We start from the raw sequence: 21,908 nt of genomic DNA on the forward strand, positions 1-21,908 counted from the left end.
TGCTGTTACAGGCAGATGGTTCTAGGACAGCAAAGAGGCAGGAACTGGCTTAGGGTCATATTCTAGCTCCCCAATTGACGAGCTGAGTGACTGTGGGGCAAGTCACTTCACCTCCATGAGCCTCCACTCCCCATCACCAATGGGAATCTCCTGGCTTCCAAATCCTGGTGTCATGCTGTGGATTAAATGAGTCAATGTGTATAAAGCTCCTGGTACGGGGCTGACGCAGATCAAATGCTCACTGAGATCCAGCTATGATCGTTACTGTTTTTGCAAGTGCCTGAGTGACTTTGCTTCTGCGTAATGGGAGTGGAACACCAGGGGATGGTGAAGAGATCCAGGGACGTGAATTCAGATGCTTTAGGGTTCTGCTGTGCTCTGCCATGCTCTGGTTGTATGTTTTTAGAAAGTTGCTGAACTTAAGCCGGGTGCAGTGGCTCACACCTGTAATCCCAGCGCTTTGGGAGGCCGAGGTGGGTGGATCACAAGGTCAGGAGATCAAGACAATCCCGTGTAACACGGTGAAACCCCAACTCAACTAAAAATACAAGAAAAATTAGCCGGGCGTGGTGGCGCGCACCTGTAGTCCCATCTACTCGGGAGGCTGAAGCAGGAGAATCTCTTGAACCCAGGAGGCAGACGTTGCAGAGAGCCGAGATTGCGCCGCAACACTCCAGCATGGGTGACAGAGCGAGACTCCGTCTCAACAACAACAACAGCAACAACAACAACAACAAAGTTGCTGAACTTTTCTGAGCCCCATTTTCTTTTACTTTTTCCAGACTGAGTCTCACTCTGTTGCCCAGACTGGAGTGCAGTGGTGCCATCTTGGCTCACTGCAACCTCTGCCTCCCAGGTTCAAGCCATTCTCGTGCCTCAGCCCCCTGAGTAGCTGAGATTACAGATGCACACCACCATGCCCAGGTAATTTTTGTATTTTCAGTATAGACGGGGTTTCATCACGTTGGCCACGCTGGTCTCGAACTGCTGACCTCAAGTGATCCACTAGCCTCGGCCTCCCAAAGTGCTGGGATTACAGGGGTGACTCACTGCATCCGGCCCCTATTCATATAGCCTTAAGTGCTATATTCATGGGCATGGCTTATTTTCAAGTGCAATGATTGTAAATATTTTCAGAACCCTAAACGTGACAAATTAAGTTGGAATTTATTAAGCACATGCAGTAGATGGTTTTCCATCCTATAGTTAATGTGTCTCAGATTCATGGCAGAGAACCATGGGTCCTTGGACTGTCAGAGAAGGGTGGGGACAGTTTCTCTCTTCTTATGAATGAATGAACAAGTGCTTGGGTCTTAGAACATGTGAGCTGCCAGAGCCTTAAACTAAGGGTGATTATTTATGTTTATCGACCACTTATTGTCACTTGGTAGGACTGGGCCCTGTGCGAGGCAAACAGACACACACACACACAATCACTTTTCATCTTCATGACAACCTTATGAGGCGCATATAGGCATACAGTCATCCCCATTTCACAAATCAAGAAAATGGGGGCTGGGTGCTTATTCATAGAATAAGACAGGACTGGACACACAGTCCTGCACTCGAGCCTGGGCAACAGAGCGAGACTCTGTCTCAAAAAAAAAAAAAAAAAGAAAAAGAAAAAAAGAAAAGAAAACAAAAACAACAGAAAAACTATATGAATAGCACTAGTAATGTACTCGCATTGCCTGTATTGGGTATGTTAAACATATTTTGTAAGCTTCAGGTTCCACAAATGAAGGCACGGCTCCATTTACTCCCTTCGCTGTTGAGTCTCTAGGTACTGACACCTGTGGGTAGAGTGAAAAAAAGGCTTTCAAATCTATATTATCTGTGGCCAGGTATGGTGGATCATGCCTGTAATCCCAACACTTTGGGAGGCTAAGGCGGGCGGACCACCTCAGGTCAGGAGTTCGAGACGAGCTTGGCCAACATGGTAAAACCTTGTCTCTACTAAAAATACAAGAATTAGCTGGGTATGGTGGCAAGCACCTGTAATCCCAGCTATTCGGGAGGCTGAGAGAGGAGAATCGCTTAAACCCGGGAGGCGGAGGTTGCAGGGAGCCGAGATCGTGCCATTGCACTCCAGCCTGGGGGAAGAGTGAAACTCTGTCTCAAAAAAAAAAAAAAAAAAAAAACTTCCTTATCTGTACCTGCGTTAATTTAAGTCATTTGTATTTTCCAGAGGGACTGCCACAACCCTGTCATTCTATCTTCCATACAGTCCTTGTCTGTGAAATGGTCCCAAGCCACAGCAACACTGCCAACAAAGCCACTTTGCCGACTGTTTACAAAACATTATTGTCCCCAAAATAGCTGCATAACTCAACGTAACTTGCACACTGTGGAAGCACAAAAGGGGTTTTCTATGCTTAATGTTCGTCTTTGTTTCGCAGTTAAACACTTGCCCTCAGATTGGGTCAGATGCCGGGGAAGTTTCAGATGAACTCAGCTATTTTCACTGCATCCGAGTGACCAGAAAAGCTGGCCTTTCAGTTTTTCTGTTTAACAAAACTGACTTCAGAATCAAAATGCTCCTAGCTTCTTCAAAACTCCACTGACAATGACACAAATGACTGAAATTGGGCTTGAGTAATTGATTACAAAATTGTGCTTTGAGGTAACCTTTCTAGACCTGGCTTTAAACATTTTTAAAAATTAATACTCTCACTTAAAAAATTTATCTAGTCAAATAAACAGAGATTTCTCTCCAAATCCCTTCCCACGAATTTTGCTTCTAAAGAGAAGGATTCTAGGGTATCTTTCCTCCTCCCAACTATTTTTTTTTTAAGATGGAGTCTCGCTCGCTTTGTCATCTAGGTTGGAGTGCAGTGGCATGATCTTGGCTGACTGCAACCTCCGCCTTCTGGGTTCAAGTGATTCTCTTGCTTCAGCCCCCTGAGTAGCTGAGATTACAGGCATGTGCTACCACACTTGACTAATTTTTGTATTTTTAGTAGAGACGGGGTTTCACCATGCTGGCCAGACTGGTCTTGAACTCCTGACCTCAAGTGTTCCGCCCGCCTTGGCCTCCCAAAGTGCTGGGATTAGAGGCGCGAGCCACTGGGCCCAGGCTTTTGCTCCCTTTTTTCTTTCTTTTTGAGACAGAGTCTCGCCCTGTTGCTGAGGTTGGAGTGCAGTGATGCAATCATGGCTCACTGCAGCCTTGAACTCCTGGGCTCAAGCCATCCTCCTGCCTTAGTCTCCAGAGTACAGCCTTAGCTGGGAGTACAAGCATGCACCACCATACCCGGCTAGTTTTTAAATTCTACTATATAAAAATTTATAAATACTTTTATAGAAATGAGGTCTCACTATGTTGCCCAGCCTGGTCTTGAACTCCTGGGCTCAAGTGATCCTCCCACCCTGGCCTCCCAAAGGGCTGGGATTATAGGCATGAGCCACTGCGCTCAGCCTTCCTTTCTTTCTTGATAGCATTCCGTATCATTGGGTTCAAAACAATGAGCTTTTATTATCTTGGTAAACAGAGAAAAACAATTAAGACAATGGAGGCAGCTGGAGTATCCAGTGTTGGAGAGGGTCCGTCAGTCCTTTGAATGCCCGGGTCCCAGAAGGTGTGTGGGGTGGTGGTGTCTTTGTGGAGGTCCTTGCATAGAGGACACAAAGGCCATGTGGCTCAGGTCGCCTGAGTCCCGAAGGCCATGCTCTGCCCAGTCCATTGTGAGTCGAGTCTAGGTTATTTGTCTCTTTTCTCAAGTGGGTGGTAAAGAACCAGGGCCGGGCATGGTGGCTCACACCTGTAATCCCAGCACTTTGGGAGGCCGAGGCAGGTGGATCATGAGGTTTGGAGATCAAGACCATCCTGACCAACATGGAGAAACCCCGTCTTCCCTAAAAATACAAAATTACCTAAGTGTGGTGGTGCATGCTTGTAATCCCAGCTAGTCGGGAGGCTGAGGCAGGAGAATCGCTTGAACCTGGGAGACAGGTTGCAGGGAGCCGAGTTCGCTCCATTGCACTCCAGCCTGGGTGACAGAGTGTGACCCTATCTCAAAAAAAAAAGAACCAGACCCACAGGCTCTCTCTCTGCTCGAGGCCTCAGCACATTCCCCAATTCTTCTTCTTCACTCCCGACCTCAGGTGATCTTCCTGCTTCGGCCTCCCAAAATGCTGGGATTACAGGCGTGAGCCACTGTGCCCCACCTCTTCTTCTTTTTTCGATACGGGGTCTCACTGTCACCCAAGCTGGGGTGCAGTGGCCTGATGTTGGCTCACTGCAACCTTTGTCTCCCAGGCTGAAGAGATTCTCCTGTCTCACCCTCCTGAGTAGCTGGGATTACAGATGGGCACCACCACGCCCGGCTAATGTTTGTATTTTTAGTAGACATGGGGTTTCACCGTGTTGGTCAGGCTGGTCTCGAACTCCTGGCCCCAGGTGATCTGCCCACTTTGGACTCCCAAAGTGCTAGGATTACAGGTGTGAGCCACTGTGCCCAGCCACTATAATATATATTTTTAAAACTACCTCATTCAGGTGTGATTGACACATAAAAAGCTATATGTCTTTAACGTATACATCTTGAATGTGTCTGGTGATAAGAAGACACCTGAGGGTACAATATTTTTAAGGTTCATCCACATCTTAGCATGTATAGATTCTGCCTTGTTTTTATGGCTAAATAAATACTTCACTGTGTATGAATAGACCACATTTTCTTTATCATTCATTAGTTGATGGATATTTAAGTTGTTTTCAGTTTGGGGGGACTATTATAAATAGTGCTGCTATAAATATTTATGCACAAGTTTTTGTATGAACATATTCTTTCCAAATAAATCTCTGTTGTTGGCCAGGCGCGGTGGCTCACGCCTGTAATCCCAGCACTTTAGGAGGCCGAGGCGGGCGGATCACGAGGTCAGGAGATCGAGACCATCCTGGCTAACACGGTGAAACCGCGTCTCTACTAAAAATACAAAAAATTAGCCGGGTGTGGTGGCGGGCGCCTGTAGTCCCAGCTACTCGGGAGGCTGAGGCAGGAGAATGGTGTGAAACCGGGAGGCGGAGCTTGCACTGAGCCGAGATAGCACCACTGCACTCCAGCCTGGGCAAAAGAGCAAGACTCCATCTCAAAAAAAAAAAAAAAAAAAAAAAAAAAAAGAAATCTCTATTGTGAATGGTACCGGTTATTCAATGGGTTTTTGAAGATTCTATTTTAAATTTTATTTAAGGCCAGTTGTGGTGGCTCACGCATGTAATCCCAGCACTTTAGGAGGCCGAAGCAGGAGGACTGCTTGAGCTGAGGAGTTTGAGACCAGCCTGGGCAACATAGGGAGTCCCCATCTCTACCAAAAATAAAACAATTAGCTGGGTGTGATGGTTTACACCTGCAGTCCCAGCTACTTGGGAAACTGAGGCAGGAGGATCACTTGAGCCCAGGAGATTGAGGCTGCAGTGAGCTGTGATGTTGCTACTGCAGTCCACCCTGGGCAACAGAGTGAGACCCTGCCTCAAAAAATAAAATTAAAAAAAATGTTAAAAATGTTAAAAATATTTAACAAACTCATACACAGCACTGAAGTTCCGCCACCATGCCTGGCTAATTTTTTCTATTTTTTAGTAGAGACGGGGTTTCACTGTGTTAGCCAGGATGGTGTCAATCTCCTGACCTCATAATCCGCCCTCCTCTGCCTCCCAAAGTGCTGGGATTACAGGCGTGACCCACCGCGCCCGGCCTCTTTTTTTTTTTTTTTTTTTTTTTTGAGATGGAGTCTTGCTCTGTCACCCAGGCTGGAGTGCAGTGGCATGGTCTCGGCTCACTGCAACATTCACCTCCCGGGTTCAAGTGATTCTCCTGCCTCAGCCTCCTGAGTAGCTGGGAGTACAAGTGCCCGCCACCATGCCCAGCTAAATTTTTGTATTTTTAGTAGAGACAGGGTTTCATTATGTTGGCAAGGCTGGTCTGGAACTCCTGACCTCAGGTAATCACCCGACTTAGCCTCCCAAAATGCTGGGATTACAGGCGTGAGCCACCGTGCCCAGCCCCAGACACTGCTCTGAGTCTATTCACTTATTAATTCCTCATAGCCACCCCATGAGATGAGTTCTGTGGGCAGCCCATTCGACAGAGGAGGAGACTAAGGAGAGGCTTATCCAGGGCTCCAAAGCAAACATGTAGCAGGTGGGGACTCAACTTCAGGCAGTTCGGCCCCTCAATTTACACCCCAACTATGAGCTCTACCATTTTTCAGAGCTGGATGGAGGATCTGAAGTTACTGAGCTGGCGTCTGGGCCAAGTGCATGGTCCCAGCGGAGGCAGTTACCATCAGGATGCCTTTACCCCTTCGGGACCCTGCAAGGGAGAATACAGCCCAAGCCTGCAGGCCCTGGCCCCTGGCACACCGGCCAAGCCCGGGAGTGTTTATTCAGCGCTACCTGTGGCCAGCCCTTTAGGCCAGCTCAGAGGCAGGTCCATTATAGCAGCCTGATCTGTAGCAGAAGAGGAAATTGAGGCTCAGCAAGGTCCAGGAGACTGTCCCTCAGTGACCAGTGTTTATGGTCCCACAGAGCCACAAACCGGGTGACTTAGAACAACATAAGTTCATTGCCTCACTGTTCTGGAGGCCAGAAGCCTGAATTCAAGGTGTGGGCAGGCCCACACTCCCTCTGGAGGCTCTAGAAGGGGATCTGCTCCTGGCCTCTCTCCCAGCCTCGGACAGTTCCTTGACTTGGGACAGCAGAACTCCAGTCCTCACATAATGACTCACTGTGTCCAGATTTCCGTTTTTTTATAAGGACACCAGTCATATTGGATTTATAAGGACACTCCAATGGCCTCGCTTCAACTTGATTACTTGTAAAGACCTGTTCTCCAAATGAGGTCACATTTACAGGTACCAGGGCTTAGGACTTCAACATATCTATTTTAGGGGTTACATTTCACAGCTGGGATTTGAACTCAGGGAATCTGACCCCACAGCCAGAGCTCACAGCCAGACTTTCCGGATTCTGGCTCTGACTTTTCTTTCTTTCGTTTTTTTTTTTTTTTTTTTTTTTTTTTTTTGACAGAGTGTTGCTCTGTCGCCCAGACTAGAGTGCAGTGGTGCAATCTTGGCTCATTGAAACTTCCACCTCCCAGGGTCAAGCGATTCTCCCACCTCAGCCTCCTGAGTAGCTGGGATTACAGGTGCCCGCCACCATGCCTGGCTGATTTTTGTATTTTTAATAGAGATGGGGTTTCACCATGTTGGCCAGGCTGGTCTCCAACTCCTGACCTCAAGTGACCCTGAGGTCACTTGAACTCCTGACCTCAGGTGATCCACCTACCTCGGCCTCCCAAAGTGCTGTGATTACAGGCGTGACCACACCTGGCCTCCTTCCTTCCTTCCTTTCCTTCTTTCCTTCCTTCACCTCTCCCCTCCCCCCCTCCCCCTTCCCCTCCCTTCCCCTCCCCTCTCCTTCCCTTCCCTTTCTCCCTCTCTATTTTATTTTATTATATTTCTTTTTTGAGACAGGGGCTTGCTCTGTTACTCAAGCTGGAGTGCAGTGGTGCAATCATGGCTCACTGCAGCCTTGACCTCCTGGAGGTCAAGTGATTCTCCCACCTCAGCCTTCTAAATAGCTGAGACCACAGGTGTTCACCACCACGCCTGGCTAATTTTTTTTTTGAGACGAAGTTTCGCTCTTGTTGCCCAGGCTGGAGTGCAGTGGCGCAATCTCGGCTCACTGAAACCTCTGCCTCCCGGGTTCAAGCAATTCTTCTACCTCAGCCTCCCGAGTAGCTGGGATTACAGGCATGCACCACCACGCCAGGCTAATTTTGTATTTTTAGCACAGACGGGGTTTCTCCATATTGGTCAGGCTGGTCTCGAACTCCCGACCTCAGGTGATCCGCCTGCCCTGGCCTCCCAAAGTGTTAGGGTTACAGGCGTGGGCCACGGCGCCCGGCCGCACCTGGCTAATTTTAAAAAATATTTTTGTAGAGGTGAGCTCTCCCTATGTTGCCCATGCTAGTCCGAAATTCCTGGGCTCAAGCCATCCTCCTGTGGTCTCCCAAAGTGCTGGGATCACAGATGTGAGCCACTGTACCTGGCCTTGACTTTCCATAAACATTTGTGCACCAGCAGCAGTACTGTGGCTTTAGGAATGACCTGGTCCCCTTTTGTCCAGCCACTGCCCAGGTGTTCCTGTGGGGCTCCAAAGCCCAGTAGCGTCAGGTCATCTCTGTTTTGCAAACCTAAATAAGGAAGATGGCTTGGAGTAGAACTTCCTAAGCAAAAGGCTTTTCCTGTGGAGGAAGGGTTACGGAGGTAAGGTTCTGTCCTTCAGCAATTACATGTTAAAATATTTAAAGACCTGGCCTTGTTGTATTGTTAAACAGCTTGTAATTTAGCCAATGCGTTATTAATAAGAAGCAGCCTGTGAAGGTAAATTATTGTGGCTTAGGCCAAAAGCAGTTACAGTTGGATTCGCTGTTACGGAGGTAGTTTTAACAAAGCGGCCGGGGCCTTATTTAAATGAGTTTAAATTAGCTCCCTGGAGCCTGTCATCTGATCCTGTTGCTAACAGATTAAGGCAAGCAATGTTTTCTACCTTGAATGCTGCTCTGATTTGCGCTGGGAGAACAGAGGTGATCCACTGCCCTGCATAGTTGTCTTCTGATTTCCGAGGGCCCTGAAATAAGTGTAAGGCCCTCGTGCATTCATTTCTGTGTGCATTTATTTATGCATTCATGCATGTGTGCATTCCACAAATATTTTTTGAGTTTTTGCTGTGTGCCGAAGGCTGTGCGAGGTGGATTCCTAGCACTTCTTTTTTTCTCCAATGTCAGAGGCTCAAATGTGCACTGATCTAGTACTTTCTTTTTTTTTTTTGAGACAGAGTCTTCCTCTGTTGCCCAGGCTGGAATGCAATGGTGCCATCTCGCGCATGGCAACCTCCGCCTCCCAGGTTCAAGCGATTTTCCTGCCTTAGCTTCCCAAGTAGACGGGATTACAGGTGCCTGCCACCATGCTCGGCTAAGTTTTGCATTTTTAGCAGAGATGGGGTTTCACCACATTGGTCAGGCTGGTCTTGAACTCCTGACCTCAGGTGATCCACCCACCTTGGCCTCCCAAAGTGCTGAGATTACAGGTGTGAGCTACTGTGACCGGCCTGATCTGGTACTTTTTGAAATGCATTGTTATTCTGTTCATTTGTTTCCTTGTTTACTTGTTTATATGGGTATTTTTCATTAAGGGAAGCTCCAGGAAGAAAAGACTGTGTCTGTCTTGTCTGGTTCTTTTTCTTTCCTTTTTTTTTTTTTTTTGAGACTGGTCTCAGGTTGTCACCCAGGCTGGGGTGCAGCGGCACGATCACAGCTCACTGCAGCCTCAACCTTGCAGGCTCAAGCGATTGTCCCACCTCAGCCTCCCAAGTAGCTGGGACTACAGGCACACACAACCATGCTAGGCTAATGTTTGTATCTTTTGTATAGAAGGGTTTTTACCATGTTGCCCAGGCTGGTCTTGAACTGCTGGGCTCAAGTGAACTGACTGCCTCTCAAAGTGTTGGGATCACAGGCGTGAGCCACTGCACCTGGCCCATCTGGTTCTTTTGATGTGGTTCCTGCCCTTATCGAGCCCTCAGCATAGTCTATTGGGGGAGGGGGTGACAGACAAATGCCATGTAGAACCATTCATCATGGGGAAAAACAGGGCATTGTAGGAACACAAAGAAGGACCCACTGGAGGCCATAGGAGGGTCATTTGAGCCAGCCAGGCTGAGAGTTGCGGGGAAGCAGGGAGTGGGGAGGTGGGGGATGTTAAGCAGGGTTTAGCCTATGCAAAGGCCAATGGGGCAGAACTTGTCTCTCAAAGAAGTGAACTAGCTTAATGGGACCCCAGTGCAAGTTAGAAAGTGGCTGGCAGCGTCATCAGGGGCCAGGAAGCAGAGACGTTGGAGGTCTGGAGGCATTCCTGAGACACTTGGAAAATTTAAAATAGTGTTTCCCCTCTGCGCAAAATCCTGACATACCATGTAAATGTCAAGCTGCTCTAGGCTGGCCTCGCTAAGTCATCCGCCCTCCCGGAGCCATCAGGGGAACCAGCTGATCCTAGGAGTCCCTGGGCCCCGCTCCTGACACGTGAGTGAGACTCTGCAGTGGGTTTGTGCACACATGGGTGGCACGGGCTGTCGTTCTCCCAGTGCCGGAGAGGCCAGTCATTCTGAGGGTGAGTCCTCATGTGGAGGGGACACGGCTTCCCAGCCCAAAAGTACATCCAAGTGTGCAGAAGTAGGAACCAGTAAGAACTAGACCTGGCTGGGTGCGGTGGCTCGTGCCTGTAATCCCAGCACTTTGGGAGGCCGAGGCGGGTGGATCACGAGGTCAGGACTTTGAGACCAGCCTGGCCAACATGGTGAAACCCCGTCTCTACTAAAAATACAAAAATTAGCTGGGCGTGACGGTATGTGCCTGTAGTCCCAGCTACGCGGGGGGCTGAGGCAGGAGAATCGCTTGAACCGGGAGGTGGAGGATACAGAGCCGAGATTGCACCACTGCACTCCAGCCTGGTGACAGAGCCAAAAAAAAAAAAAAAAAAGAACTAGCTGACTTTGGTCCTGTTGCAGCCATGGGTTAGGGAACTTGTTAAAAACAGGCAAAACTGGCCAGGGGCGGTGGCTTACGCCTATAATCGTAGCACTTTGGAATGCTAAGGCAAGAGGATTGTTTGAGCCTAGGAGTTTGAGAGACCAGCCTCGGCAACACAGTGAGACCTTGTCTCTACAAAAAATTAAAATATGAACTGGGCATGGTGATGTGTGCCTGTAATTCCAGCTACTTGGGAGGCTGAGGCAGGAGGATCAGTGGAGGCCAGGAGGTCGAGGCTGCAGTGAGCCGTGATCTTGCCACTGCACTCCAGCCTGGGTGATAAAGCAAGACCTTGTCTCAAAAACAAACAACAATAACAACAACAACCAAAAAAACTGGCAAAACTCTCCCTCTCCAGCTTTGTTGTTCATGGCTGATTCATTGTTTAATCCCTGTGGATAAACCCTGTTCTGACAACTGAGGGGGAGTTACTCATTTATTCACCTGCCCAATAAGTATCTTCCAGAACCTAGCTCTCTGAAGGTAGAGCTTTGGGCTGCGCACCTGCTGATGTCCCCTGGGAGTGTAGATGTAGGTCCACTCACTCTGAGACTAGGGAGACCGGTACTTATGTGACTTAATCTCCCAGGGATATATAGAAAGATGGTTCCATTTTCCTATTTTATTTCCCTGGCACCTGGCCATTCACTCATTCCTTCCTCCTTTCATTCCTTTGAGAAATATTGGCTGAACGTCTACAATGTCCCAGGTGTTGTACAAGGCACCAGGGAATTCAGTGGTAAATGAAACCTACATAGAGACGGTGGCATTGAGACTGTAAACAAACAAACGCAGACATAATGTCCTATTCCAAACCATGACAAATGCTTCTGATAGGGCTGTAGACCATCTAGGAGGTGGCTTATTCTTTTTTTTTTTTTAATTGCCCGGGCTGGAGTGCAGTGGTGCAATTATAGCTCACTACAGCCTCAACCTCCTGGGTTCAAGCGATTCTCCCACCTCAGCTACCTGAGTAGCTGGGACTATAGGTGCCACCGAACCTGGCTAATTTTAAAATATTTTGTGGAGATAGGGGTTTTGCTGTGTTGCCCAGGCTGGTCTCAAACTCCCGGCTTCAAGTGATCCTCTTGCCTTGGCCTCCCAATGTGCTGGGATTATAGGTGTGAGCCACTGCACCTGGCTTCACTCTATAGTTTTTTATTGTGATGAAATACACGTAACATAAAACTTCCCATTTAAGCATCTTAAGTGTACAGTTCAGTGGCATAAGTACATTCACGTTATTGTGCAACTGTCTCCACTGTCCATCTCCAGAACCCCTTCATCATCCCAAACCGGACTCTGTACCCATGAAACACTAACTCTCCACTCCCTGCTCCCCACTGCTGCTATTAACCACTATTCTATTTGCTGTCTCTGCAAATTTGACCATTCTAGGTACCTCATAGAAAAGGAATCATACAATAGTTGTCCTTTTGTCTCTGGCTCGTTTCACTGGACACAATGTCTTCCAGGTTCAGCCGTGTCGTGGCAGGTGCCAGGTGCCTCACTCCTCTTTAAAGCTGAAGAATACGTCATTGTATGACTCCATCACCTTTCATTTATCTGTTCATCTGTTGATGGACACGTGGGTGTTTTCCCCCTTTTGATCATTGTGTAAATGATGCTGCTGTGAACATTTGTGTACAAATATCTGTTTTAAGTCTCCATTGGTTTGCTCTTGTCCATTAAGAAAAAATCAACAATGTGGTACCTGGCATTGTCCCTTTAATTGCTGCAGCAACTCCAGAGCCCACACTCTTAATGGCAGTGCTATGCTGTTGCTCATTCATTCGTCCTGTAAATGTCTATTGAGTGTTGACTATGTGCTAGGCATTTTTGCAAAGCACTGCAAATTCAGGGATGTCAGGGGCTGGTGATGCTACTTCAGCAGTTGTGATGTGTGAAGGAATAAAACAGGCATACATGAGTCAGCATCCTTTTCCTCTTTTTTTCTGAGAAAAACTGAGCCTCAGAGAGGTTGCTTTGAGAGCATCCAGCTGTCAAGTGGCAGAGCTGGGGTCACATGTTGACCCTGTGCTGTGTCTCTGCCCCTCCCCCACGCGCCGCCCTTGTCCTGTCACTGAGTCCAGGTGCCCTGGCTGCAGACGCTGTTCTGACCCTGTGTCTCCATCTCATGTGTGTCCCGGGCTGGCTTTGCTGGGATGAGCAGTGGCTTTTCAGCTCCAGGGCCATCTGGGTACAGCTGCAATGATGGATTGTCTGCAACAGTCATGTCAGGGCTTCCGGAACAGTGTCAGCCTGGTTCTGCCAGGCCCACTTCCCTTCATCAGCTGGGTGACACTGCTGCCATTGGATGGCTGATGACTCATTCAGCAAGCTCTAGTTGAGCACCCCTACGAAAAGTTGGGGGGTCTACCCCATGGCACAGTCTTCAGAAGTGAAAAGGAAGGAAGCACTGATGCACGATGCAACACAGATGGGCTGAAAACATTGTGCTGAGTGAGAGAGGTCAGAGGCAGAAGGCCATGTCTTATGTGATTTCTTTTTTCTCTGTCTCTTTTTTTTTTTTTTTTTTTTGAGACAGAGCCTTGCTCTGCTGTTCAGGCTGGAATGCAGTGAGGCAATCTCAGCTCACTGCAACCTCCACCTCCCGGGTTCAAACGACTGTTGTGCCTCAGCCTCCTGAGTAGCTGGGACTCCAGGTGCATGCCACCATGCCCAGCTAATGTTTTGTATTTTTAGTAGAGATGGGGTTTCGCCATGTTGACCAGGCTGGTCTTGAACTCCTCACCTCAGGTGATCTGCCCCCTGAGGCCTCCCAAAGTGCTGGGATTACAGGTGTAAGCCACCTCACCAGGCCTTATATGACTTCATTTCTTGGAACTATCCGGAGAAGGGAATACATAGACACAGAAAGTAGATGAGTCGGATGAGTGGTTGTCTAGGACTGGGGTGGCAGGGGAGGGGGCGGAGATGGGGTTGACTTCTGAAGGATACAGGGCTTCTTTTGAAGGTGATAAAAATATTCTGGAATAGGTATTGGTGATGGTTTTAAGTTCATGAATGTACTGAATGAAACACACTGGACTGCATACTTTATATTTTATTTTTTGAGACAGGGTCTCTCTGTTACCCAGGCTGGAGTGCAGTGGCAGGATCATAGCTCACTGCAATCTCAAGCCATCCTCCCGCCCCAGCCTCCCGAGTAGCTGGGACCACAGGCACGCACCATCATGCCTGCCTAGTTTTTTATTTTTATTTTTAGAGATGAGGTCTTGCTATGTTGCCCAGGCTGGTCTTGAACGCCTGGGCTTAAGCGATTCTCCGACCTCGACCTCCCAAAGTGCTGGGATTACAGGGTGAGCCACCGTGCCTGGCCTGACCTGCATACTTAAAAAGGGTGGGCTATATGATATGATAATTATATTTTAATTTTTTAAAAAAACATTTATTTTTATTTAAACAGTTTTTGGGGTACAGCTTTTTTTTTTAACATGGATAAGGTCTTTAGTGGTGATTTCTGAAATTTTAGTGCACCTGTCACACAAGCAGTGTACACTGTACCCAATGTGTAGTCTTTTATTCCTCACTCCCTCCCAGTCTTCCCCTCCCAAGTCCCCAAAATCCATTATATCATTCTTATGCCTTTGCATCCTCATATATATATATTTTGAGATGGAGTCTCACTCTGTCACCCAGGCTGGAGTACAGTGGTGTGATCTCGGCTCACTGCAACCTCTGCCTCCTGTATTCAAGCGATTCTCCTGCCTCAGCCTCCTGAGTAGCTGGGATTACAGGTGTGTGCCACCATGCCTGGCTAATTTTTGTATTTTTAGTAAATATGGGGTTTCACCATGTTGGCCAGGCTGGTCTCAAACTCCTGACCTCAAGTAATCCGCCCACCTCAGCCTCCCAAAGTCCTGGGATTAGAGGTGTGAGCTACCGCGCCCAGCTTGCGTCCTCATATCTTAGCTCTCACTTATAAGTGAGAACATATGATATTTGGTTTTCCATTCCTGAGTTACTTCATTTAGAATAATGACCTCCAGCTCCATCCAAGTTGCTGCAAAAGACATTATTTTGTCACGCCTGTAATCCTAGCACTTTGGGAGGCGGAGGTGGGCGGATCACAAGGTCAGGAGATCAAGACCATCCTGGCTAACACGGTGAAACCCCGTCTCCACTAAAAGTACAAAAAAATTAGCTGGGCATGGTGGTGGGCGCCTGTAGTCCCAGCTACTTGGGAGGCTGAGGCAGAAGAATGGCGTGAACCCGGGAGGCAGAGCTTGCAGTGAGTCGAGATCATGCCACTGCACTCCAGCCCGGGTGACAGAGCGAAACTCCATCTCAAAAAAAAAAAAAAAAAAAAGACATTATTTTGTTCCTTTTTATGGCTGAGTAGTATTCCGTGGTGTATATATACCACGTTTCTAAAATCCACTTATTGGTTGATGGGCGTTTGGGTTGGCTCCATATTTTTGCAATTGTGAATTGTGCTGCTATAAACATACATGTGTATGTGTCTTTTTCACATAATGACTTCTTTTCCTTTGGGTAGATACCCATATTTCAATTTTTTAAAAAAGAGTTGGAGGAGGTGAGTAGATTGATATCACATCTGTGCTGAGGTCCCCTAGACTTGCAGGGGGAAGGAAAGGGGTTGATAGGGAGACTCCTGAAGAGTATGACAGGCGATGGGGGCACCTTACTCAGTGGCTGCGTAGTGGCCAGGCCCCCAAATCAGGCCTGCAGAATAGAAAAGGGAAGGGAGAGCATTGGGCTGGAAGATGTTGGTGCAGCTTGGATATTCTTTCTGCATTCTTACTGGACGTTTTGGCGTAAGTGGCATTCCAGCTTCCTTTGAATTTGGATGAGGAAGAACAGGAAGGAAGGAAGGAGGGGAGGAGGGATCATCTGTCAAGTGATTAGCAGAAATAGCTTTTTGTACTTTACAGAATCTCACTCATTTTTAAAATTTAAATTTACTTAAATGGTGATGTAGAATGAACCATGTGCCAGGCACTGCTCTAAGCACATTGCATGAGCTGACTCCTTTATTCTTCTGACAAGTAGCAAGGTAGCTACTTTTCTTACTTCCCCTTTTACACACAAAGGAATTAAGGAACTGAGAGCTTGATGATTTTTTCACACAGCTGATGAGAGGCAGAGCAGAGATCCCAACCCAGGCCCCAGAGCCCACTCTCTTAAGGGCGGTGCTATGCTGTTGTTCATTCATTCATCCTGTAAATGTCTATTGAGTGTGGACTATGTGCTAGGCATTTTGCAAAGCACTGCAAATTCAGGGATATCAGCGGCTGATGACCCTATTTCAGTAGTTGTGATGTATGAAGCAATAAAATAGGCCCACCTGAGTGCTAGTTGGGAGGTTCTATGATTATTGCACTTTACAAATGAAAGAGGGGTTACCCAGCCTGGAATTGGGCAAGTCTGGGTGGGAATTCAGGGCTATTTAGCTCCAGCCTCCCATCTCCAGATGCTAATTGTGTCAATATGGATTTTCCAGGATGGGGACCCGTAAGAGGCAGCCCTGCTTGGTCCCTGCCTGCCCCACTGTGGCCCTGCAGCTGTGGGCTCTGGGCTTTGGACCATCTCCTTTTCTGAGCAGGCAGGCTTGGATGTCCTCTCCAGCCACCTGGCAGAAGGGCTGTAACTGAATCCTTCTGTGGCCTTGTGTTCCTGAGAGCACCAAACCATGTGTTTGTTTAGCAGGGAGAGGCTCAGGTCTCATTTGTGGGTGGTCAAGCCAACTGTAGGGACAGGAGCCGGCAGCTGAGGCTCTTAGGCAGGGACAAAACTAGTGGTGTGAGCTGGTTTCCAACACAGAAAGGTCCCGTCAGCTGTTTGATCCCGTAGGACCTTGGGAGGTATGAAAGGCACAGGGGCTGGGCCCTGTTTGGTCTCTGCCAGGGCCTCTCCCAGGGCAGGGTGCCTGCGGCCCACAGTTTCTCAAGGTCACAGCAATGTTTAACAAGGAAAGAAAATAAATGTAATTATTCCAGAATACAAAAAGAAACCTGCAGGCCCAGGTGCAGTGGCTCACGCCTGTAATCCCAGCACTTTGGGAGGCTGAGGCAGGCAGATCCCTTGAGGTCAGGAGTTCGAGACCAGCCTGGCCAACATGGTGAAACCCCATCTCTACTAAAAGTACAAAAATTAGTTGGGTGTGGTGGTGGGTGCCTGTAATCCCAGGTACTTGGGAGGCCGAGGCAGGAGAATCGTTTGAACCCAGGAGGCGGAGGCGGCAGTGAGCTGAGATCGTGCCATTGCACTCCAGCCTAGGCGAAAGAGTGAGACTCCGTCTCAAAAAAAAAAAAAAAAAAAAAAAGGAAAAAAAAAGAAAAGAAAAAGAAACCTGCAGAGTTAAAATGAACACATGCTGAATTAAATGCCTACCAAGGGCAACTTCATGCCAGGCTGTCATCTGGACCTCAACTGTGATGAGCTCATGTATATGTAAATCACGGAAAGTGGATGCATTTTAATGTGTGTGATGTGATTGACATGGGTAGAGCCCAGGACCTGTGAAGGCCTCACAACCATCCTGCGAAGAGAGGTGCTCTATAACCTTCCGGGGCTCCCTGGTCCCTTCTAGGTAAGGTCCCTCTCCACTTGGCAGGCGTTTGAATTTTATTCAGCCAGTGTTTTTATTTTATTTATTTATTTATTATTATTATTTTTGAGATGGAGTCTCTGTCGCTCAGGCTGGAGTACAGTGGCATGATCTCGGCTCACTGCCACCTCCTCCTCTCAGGTTCAAGCAATTCTCATGCCTCAGCCTCCCGAGTAGCTGGGATTACAGGTGCGCACCACCACGCCTGGCTAATTTTTTGCATTTTTAGTAGAGACAGGGTTTCACTATGTTGTCCAGGCTTGTCTTGAACTCCTGGCCTCAAGTGATCCACCTGCCTCGGCCTCCCAAAGTGCTGGGAGGATAGGTGTGAGCCACTGTGCACAGCCTTTATTTTATTTTTTAAAGAAACAAGATCTTGGCCGGGCGCGGTGGCTCACGCCTGTAATCCCAGCACTTTGGGAGGGCGAGACGGGCGGATCACGAGGCCCCGAGATCAAAACCATCCCGGCTAAAACGGTGAAACCCCGTCTCTATTAAAAATACAAAAAAAATTTGCCGGGCGTAACGGCGGGCCCCTGTAATCCCAGCTAACTTGGGAGGCTGAGGCAGGAGAATGGCGTGAACCCGGGAGGCGGAGCTTGCAGTGAGCCGAGATCCCGCGACTGAACTCCAGCCTGGGCGACAGAGTCAGACTCCGTCTCAAAAAAAAAAGGAAAAAAAAGAAACAAGATCTTGCTCTGCCACCCAGGCTGGAGTGCAGTGGCATAATCATAGCTCATTGCAGCCTTGACCTTCTATGCTCAAGCGATTCTCCTGCCTCAGCCACCTGAGTAGCTGGTATTACAGGTACGTGCCACCACACTTGGGTAATTTTCTTTTTTAAAAATATTTATGTATTTATTTTTGAGATGGAGTCTCGCTCTGTCACCCAGGCTGGAGTGCAGTGGTGCAATCTGGGCTCACTGCAAGCTCCGCCTCCTGGGTTCAGGCCATTTTCCTGCCTCAGCCTCCCGAGTAGCTGGAACTACAGGCGCCTGCCACCACGCTCGGCTAATCTTTTGTATTTTTAGTAGAGACGGGTTTCACCGCGTTAGCCAGGATGGTCTCGATCGCTTGACCTCGTGATCTGCCCGCCTTGGCCTCCCAAAGTGCTGGGATTACAGGCGTGAGCCACTGCACCTGGTTAATTTTCTTATTTTATGTAGAGATGAGGTCTCACTATTTTGCCCAGGCTGGTCTCGAAGTCCTGGGCTCAAACAATCCTCCTGCCAGGATTACAGGTGTGAGCCACTTCACCCGACCTCAGCCAGTGTATTTAATATCTTCTCCAAGTCAGATGCAGGAAGGGGATCTTCAGGCAAAGAGGCTGGACCCTCAGAGGTGCCCATGGTCAAGCTGGGGAGACAGACACATTTTCAAATGCATGGGGACTGTCTGAGGAACAAGGGCACAGGGAGGGTCAGAAATGGGTTGAGTATGAGCTGAGGGTATGAACCAGGCTTCCGTCCTGTGTGGGAGTGTCTTGAGTGTTGGGCTGTCCTTCAGAGATCAAGGCACTGTTTGGTTCTAGAAGCAACACAGTGCACCAACCCCATGGTCTGACTGCAAGGGGGTCAAATTGCAGCTTGATCCCTCACAAGCTGTGCGACTATGGGCAAGTGACTTAAACTCTCTGAGTTTTGGCTTCTCCATCTGTCAAATGCGGAGGGTGAGCGCTACCTACTTCATCAGGAGCAGCACACGGTATGCAGTGAGCCCAGTGTATGCCTCGGCTATTGCCATTACTGCAATGATGGTTAGGCTTGGGCAGCTGAAAATTGTCCAAATGTGTCCTTTTGGTACTCATCGGCACCTTTTGGTCATCTGAAATTAAAGGAAAGTTTTCTGCCTGACCAGCCACCCGCTATAAACATTCACCCCAGGAGAAGGCAAGGCAGTTCTCCCGGGGCCTGGAGATGAGGCATTGATTGTCCCTGGAGAGCCCTTGCGCTGGGAGGAGCTGCTTTTCTTGCTCCTGTCATTTTCCCTGCAGCAGGAGGATGAGGTTTGAAAGCAGCAGACAGAACCTGAGGTTGGTTTCTGCCGAGGTCCCTCCATCCCCTTCCCTGCATCCCCTTCTCTGCCATCCAGGGAGGTGAACCTCCTTCTCATGCCCCACCGGCCCCATCCTCAGCCCACCCCGATCCTCACTTCTCCAGGTCCCCTGCTTTGCGAGTTACAGGCCAGTGGGACTCAGCATTTCCAAGCCACCGATGCTTGTGACGTAGCCAGAGATTCTGAGGCAGGACACAGTGATTCAGGGTTGTCGTCTGGGTCAGACAGGCTCATGCGCCAATCCCACCACTCCCCGGCCATGTGCTGCTGGGCGAGTCACTCTGTCTTCCTGAGCCTCAACTTGCTCATCTGTAAAATGGGGAAATGCTAGTTCCCATCTCACCAGGGCATTGTAAGGATGAAGCGAGGCAGTTAACACTTTATAAAGTCCTTAACAACAGTGTCCAACAATCGTGAAAGTCCTCTGATGCTGGACAACTGGCTCTGGGATGGACGCCTTCCAGACGGAGCCTCAGCTCGAATGTCCCCCCGAAACATGTGGCTCTGTCACTGGATACTGGGAGAAGTACCTTCCTTTCCTTTCGAAGTCAGAGAAAGTCATGCCCCAGCAGACCAGCCTCCCCTCCGTGCCTGTTATCTGGGGGCTCCAGACCGGGCCTTTCTAACAAGAGGTTTGTTAGGATGGGAAGTGAGTCAGGAACTCTGGCCTTTGACTGGCTGCGTGTGCTGAGTCTGTGGCTTTATCCCCTCCCTGACACCCTCCTTGAGGCTCTTTGGGCCAAGTGCGTGTTATGTTCTTCTTTGCTGGTTAGCATTGTTAGCGCCAAGGGTGTGCCGAGGACCAAGCCCGGCACAGGTATGAGGTTGTGCTTTGGAAAAGCAGGCGATCCTCCTTCACAAGTCTCCTGTTACAAGGCACGATAAACGCTTTCAAAGAAATAAAATGGTAAAAGGAAGGAGAACTGAGGAAGAGGCAGTCGTGCCTAGGAGGGGGAAGGGAGGGTGTCCCGGGAAGAAGGACCAGCATGGATGAGGCCCTGAAGCCTGAGCGTCTCCTTGGCCCAAATCCAGGCCTCCTACCCCTCCAGAAAGCCCCATGTCTCATGCCTCCCATCCCCTTCACTGTCAAGAAATTGATCAGCGTTCCAAGCATCTGGAACAGCAAGTGCAAAGTCCCCATGGCAGGGACACGTCGATGTATTGTTCTAAACGCAGCAAAGCTGGCGTGGCTGGAGCCAGATGAGGGGGCTGGGATGGGAGGTGGGTGGGCAGGGCAGATCACACAGGGCCCGAGGACCACCATAAAGAGTGCAGGTTTATTCTCGGCATCAAGGCCCGTTCTTTCTTTCTTTATTTATTTATTTGAGATGGAGTCTTGCTCTGTCGCCCACGCTGGAGTGCAGTGGTGCGATCTCCACTCACTGCAATCTCTGCCTCCCTAGTAGCTGGGATTACAGGCATGCACCAGCACGTCTAGCTAATTGGTTTTTTTTTTTTTTTTTTTTTTTTTTTTGTATTTTTAGAAGAGATGGGGTTTCACCATATTGGCCAGGCTGGTCTTGAACTCCTGACCTCAAATGATCCATCCACCTCGGCCTCCCAAAGTGCTGGGATTACAGGTGTGAGCCACCGCGCCTGGTCTCGTCAAGGCCTGTTCTGTGTATATCCTCCCCCGAAATCATTTCGTTTGGGAAACAGGAGGGAGACTGAGCAGTAGAAGGAAGGGGAGAAGGTCAGGGGTGGTGTGGCCGCTGCCTGGCAGGATTCTGAAGGACAGAGGGTGGAAAAGGGAGGAGAAGATGTGACCGCTTGGCCCGGGGGGACAGTGCCTGGCTCTGTTTCTGAGCTGCCCATGACAACAAGCCCAGCTGCTGAGCAAACGGTTCTTGGAGGGAGTGGGGACTGGGCCCAACTGGGATTCAAATCCAGGTTCACCATCCCGTGCTGTGTGACTTGGGGTAAATTAGTGAGCCTCTCTGGGCAAGTACATGAGACATATACGCACTTTCCAAATGATGAAACAGGCCCAGAGAAAGGAAGGGGCTTGCCTCGCTGGAAGGAGGTGGAGCTGGACTTCTAACCAGGCAGTCTGAACCCCTCCAGCCTCCACTGGCTTTACTCTGCTCTCTGTCCTCCGTGGGGAGATGATTTCCTTTGAAAGTGGGTCCAGCGTGGCTGAGATCTACAGGGCAGACACAGTTCTCAGGGGGTCTCCTTGCCAGCTCGCTGAGTCCAGACCCCAGGATCCCCATGGTGCATTCTCTGGGGGAACGAGGCCTCCCTATTCCAACGCTGATGTGTTTGTCGCAGCAACTGACATGGAGATATGGCAGGAGGCAGCTCTGTCCTCCTGGCCCTGGTGGAGGACAGGCAGGCTGGCCTTGCCCAGCCTGGGGTGACACCAAGGGCTCCTGGGCATGTATCCATTTCTTCCTCGGCCCCCCCCTCCCCCCGCCTCTCTTCCTGGGAGCCAGGAGGGAAGGGGGAGGAGGTGTCTGTCCTCAGATGCCGGCACTATTTTTGGAGCCTGCCTTGATCCCAATTCCGGGGCACGTGGGCTGTGACAGGCGCTAGGAGCAGACCCCGCTGGAATAAGGAATAAGGTCAGCCACAGATGCTGGGATACGCCCCCACCACCCTGACCCTGGCCCTTCTAGAACTGGGCACGGACCCTTGCCCTCCCTGAGCGTAGGTTCATGGGCTTG

At 49.3% G+C, this 21,908-nt stretch overlaps 1 protein-coding gene across 3 annotated transcripts in view, besides 2 other annotated features; it reads left to right on the forward strand.

Annotated features, from left to right (window-relative positions):
* Positions 1-21,908, forward strand: part of SEC14L5 (SEC14 like lipid binding 5) — a 60,828-nt gene that overhangs the window by 2,238 nt on the left and 36,682 nt on the right. The gene's annotated exons all lie outside the window — the stretch shown is intronic.
* Positions 8,941-9,440: an enhancer, noted in NCBI's record as "H3K27ac hESC enhancer chr16:5019509-5020008 (GRCh37/hg19 assembly coordinates)". NCBI's record gives its function as "activates a minimal SCP1, AML or CMV promoter by ChIP-STARR-seq in naive H9 embryonic stem cells {active_cell/tissue: H9 hESC(naive)}" and the evidence as "EXISTENCE:reporter gene assay evidence [ECO:0000049][PMID:30033119]".
* Positions 9,541-9,835: a silencer, noted in NCBI's record as "tiled region #439; HepG2 Repressive non-DNase unmatched - State 20:ReprD". NCBI's record gives its function as "represses a minimal TATA promoter and a strong SV40 promoter by Sharpr-MPRA in HepG2 cells {active_cell/tissue: HepG2}" and the evidence as "EXISTENCE:reporter gene assay evidence [ECO:0000049][PMID:27701403]".

The sequence above is a fragment of the Homo sapiens genome, chromosome 16 (genome assembly GCF_000001405.40).
Source record: "Homo sapiens chromosome 16, GRCh38.p14 Primary Assembly".
NCBI classification, from domain to species: Eukaryota; Metazoa; Chordata; class Mammalia; order Primates; family Hominidae; genus Homo; species Homo sapiens.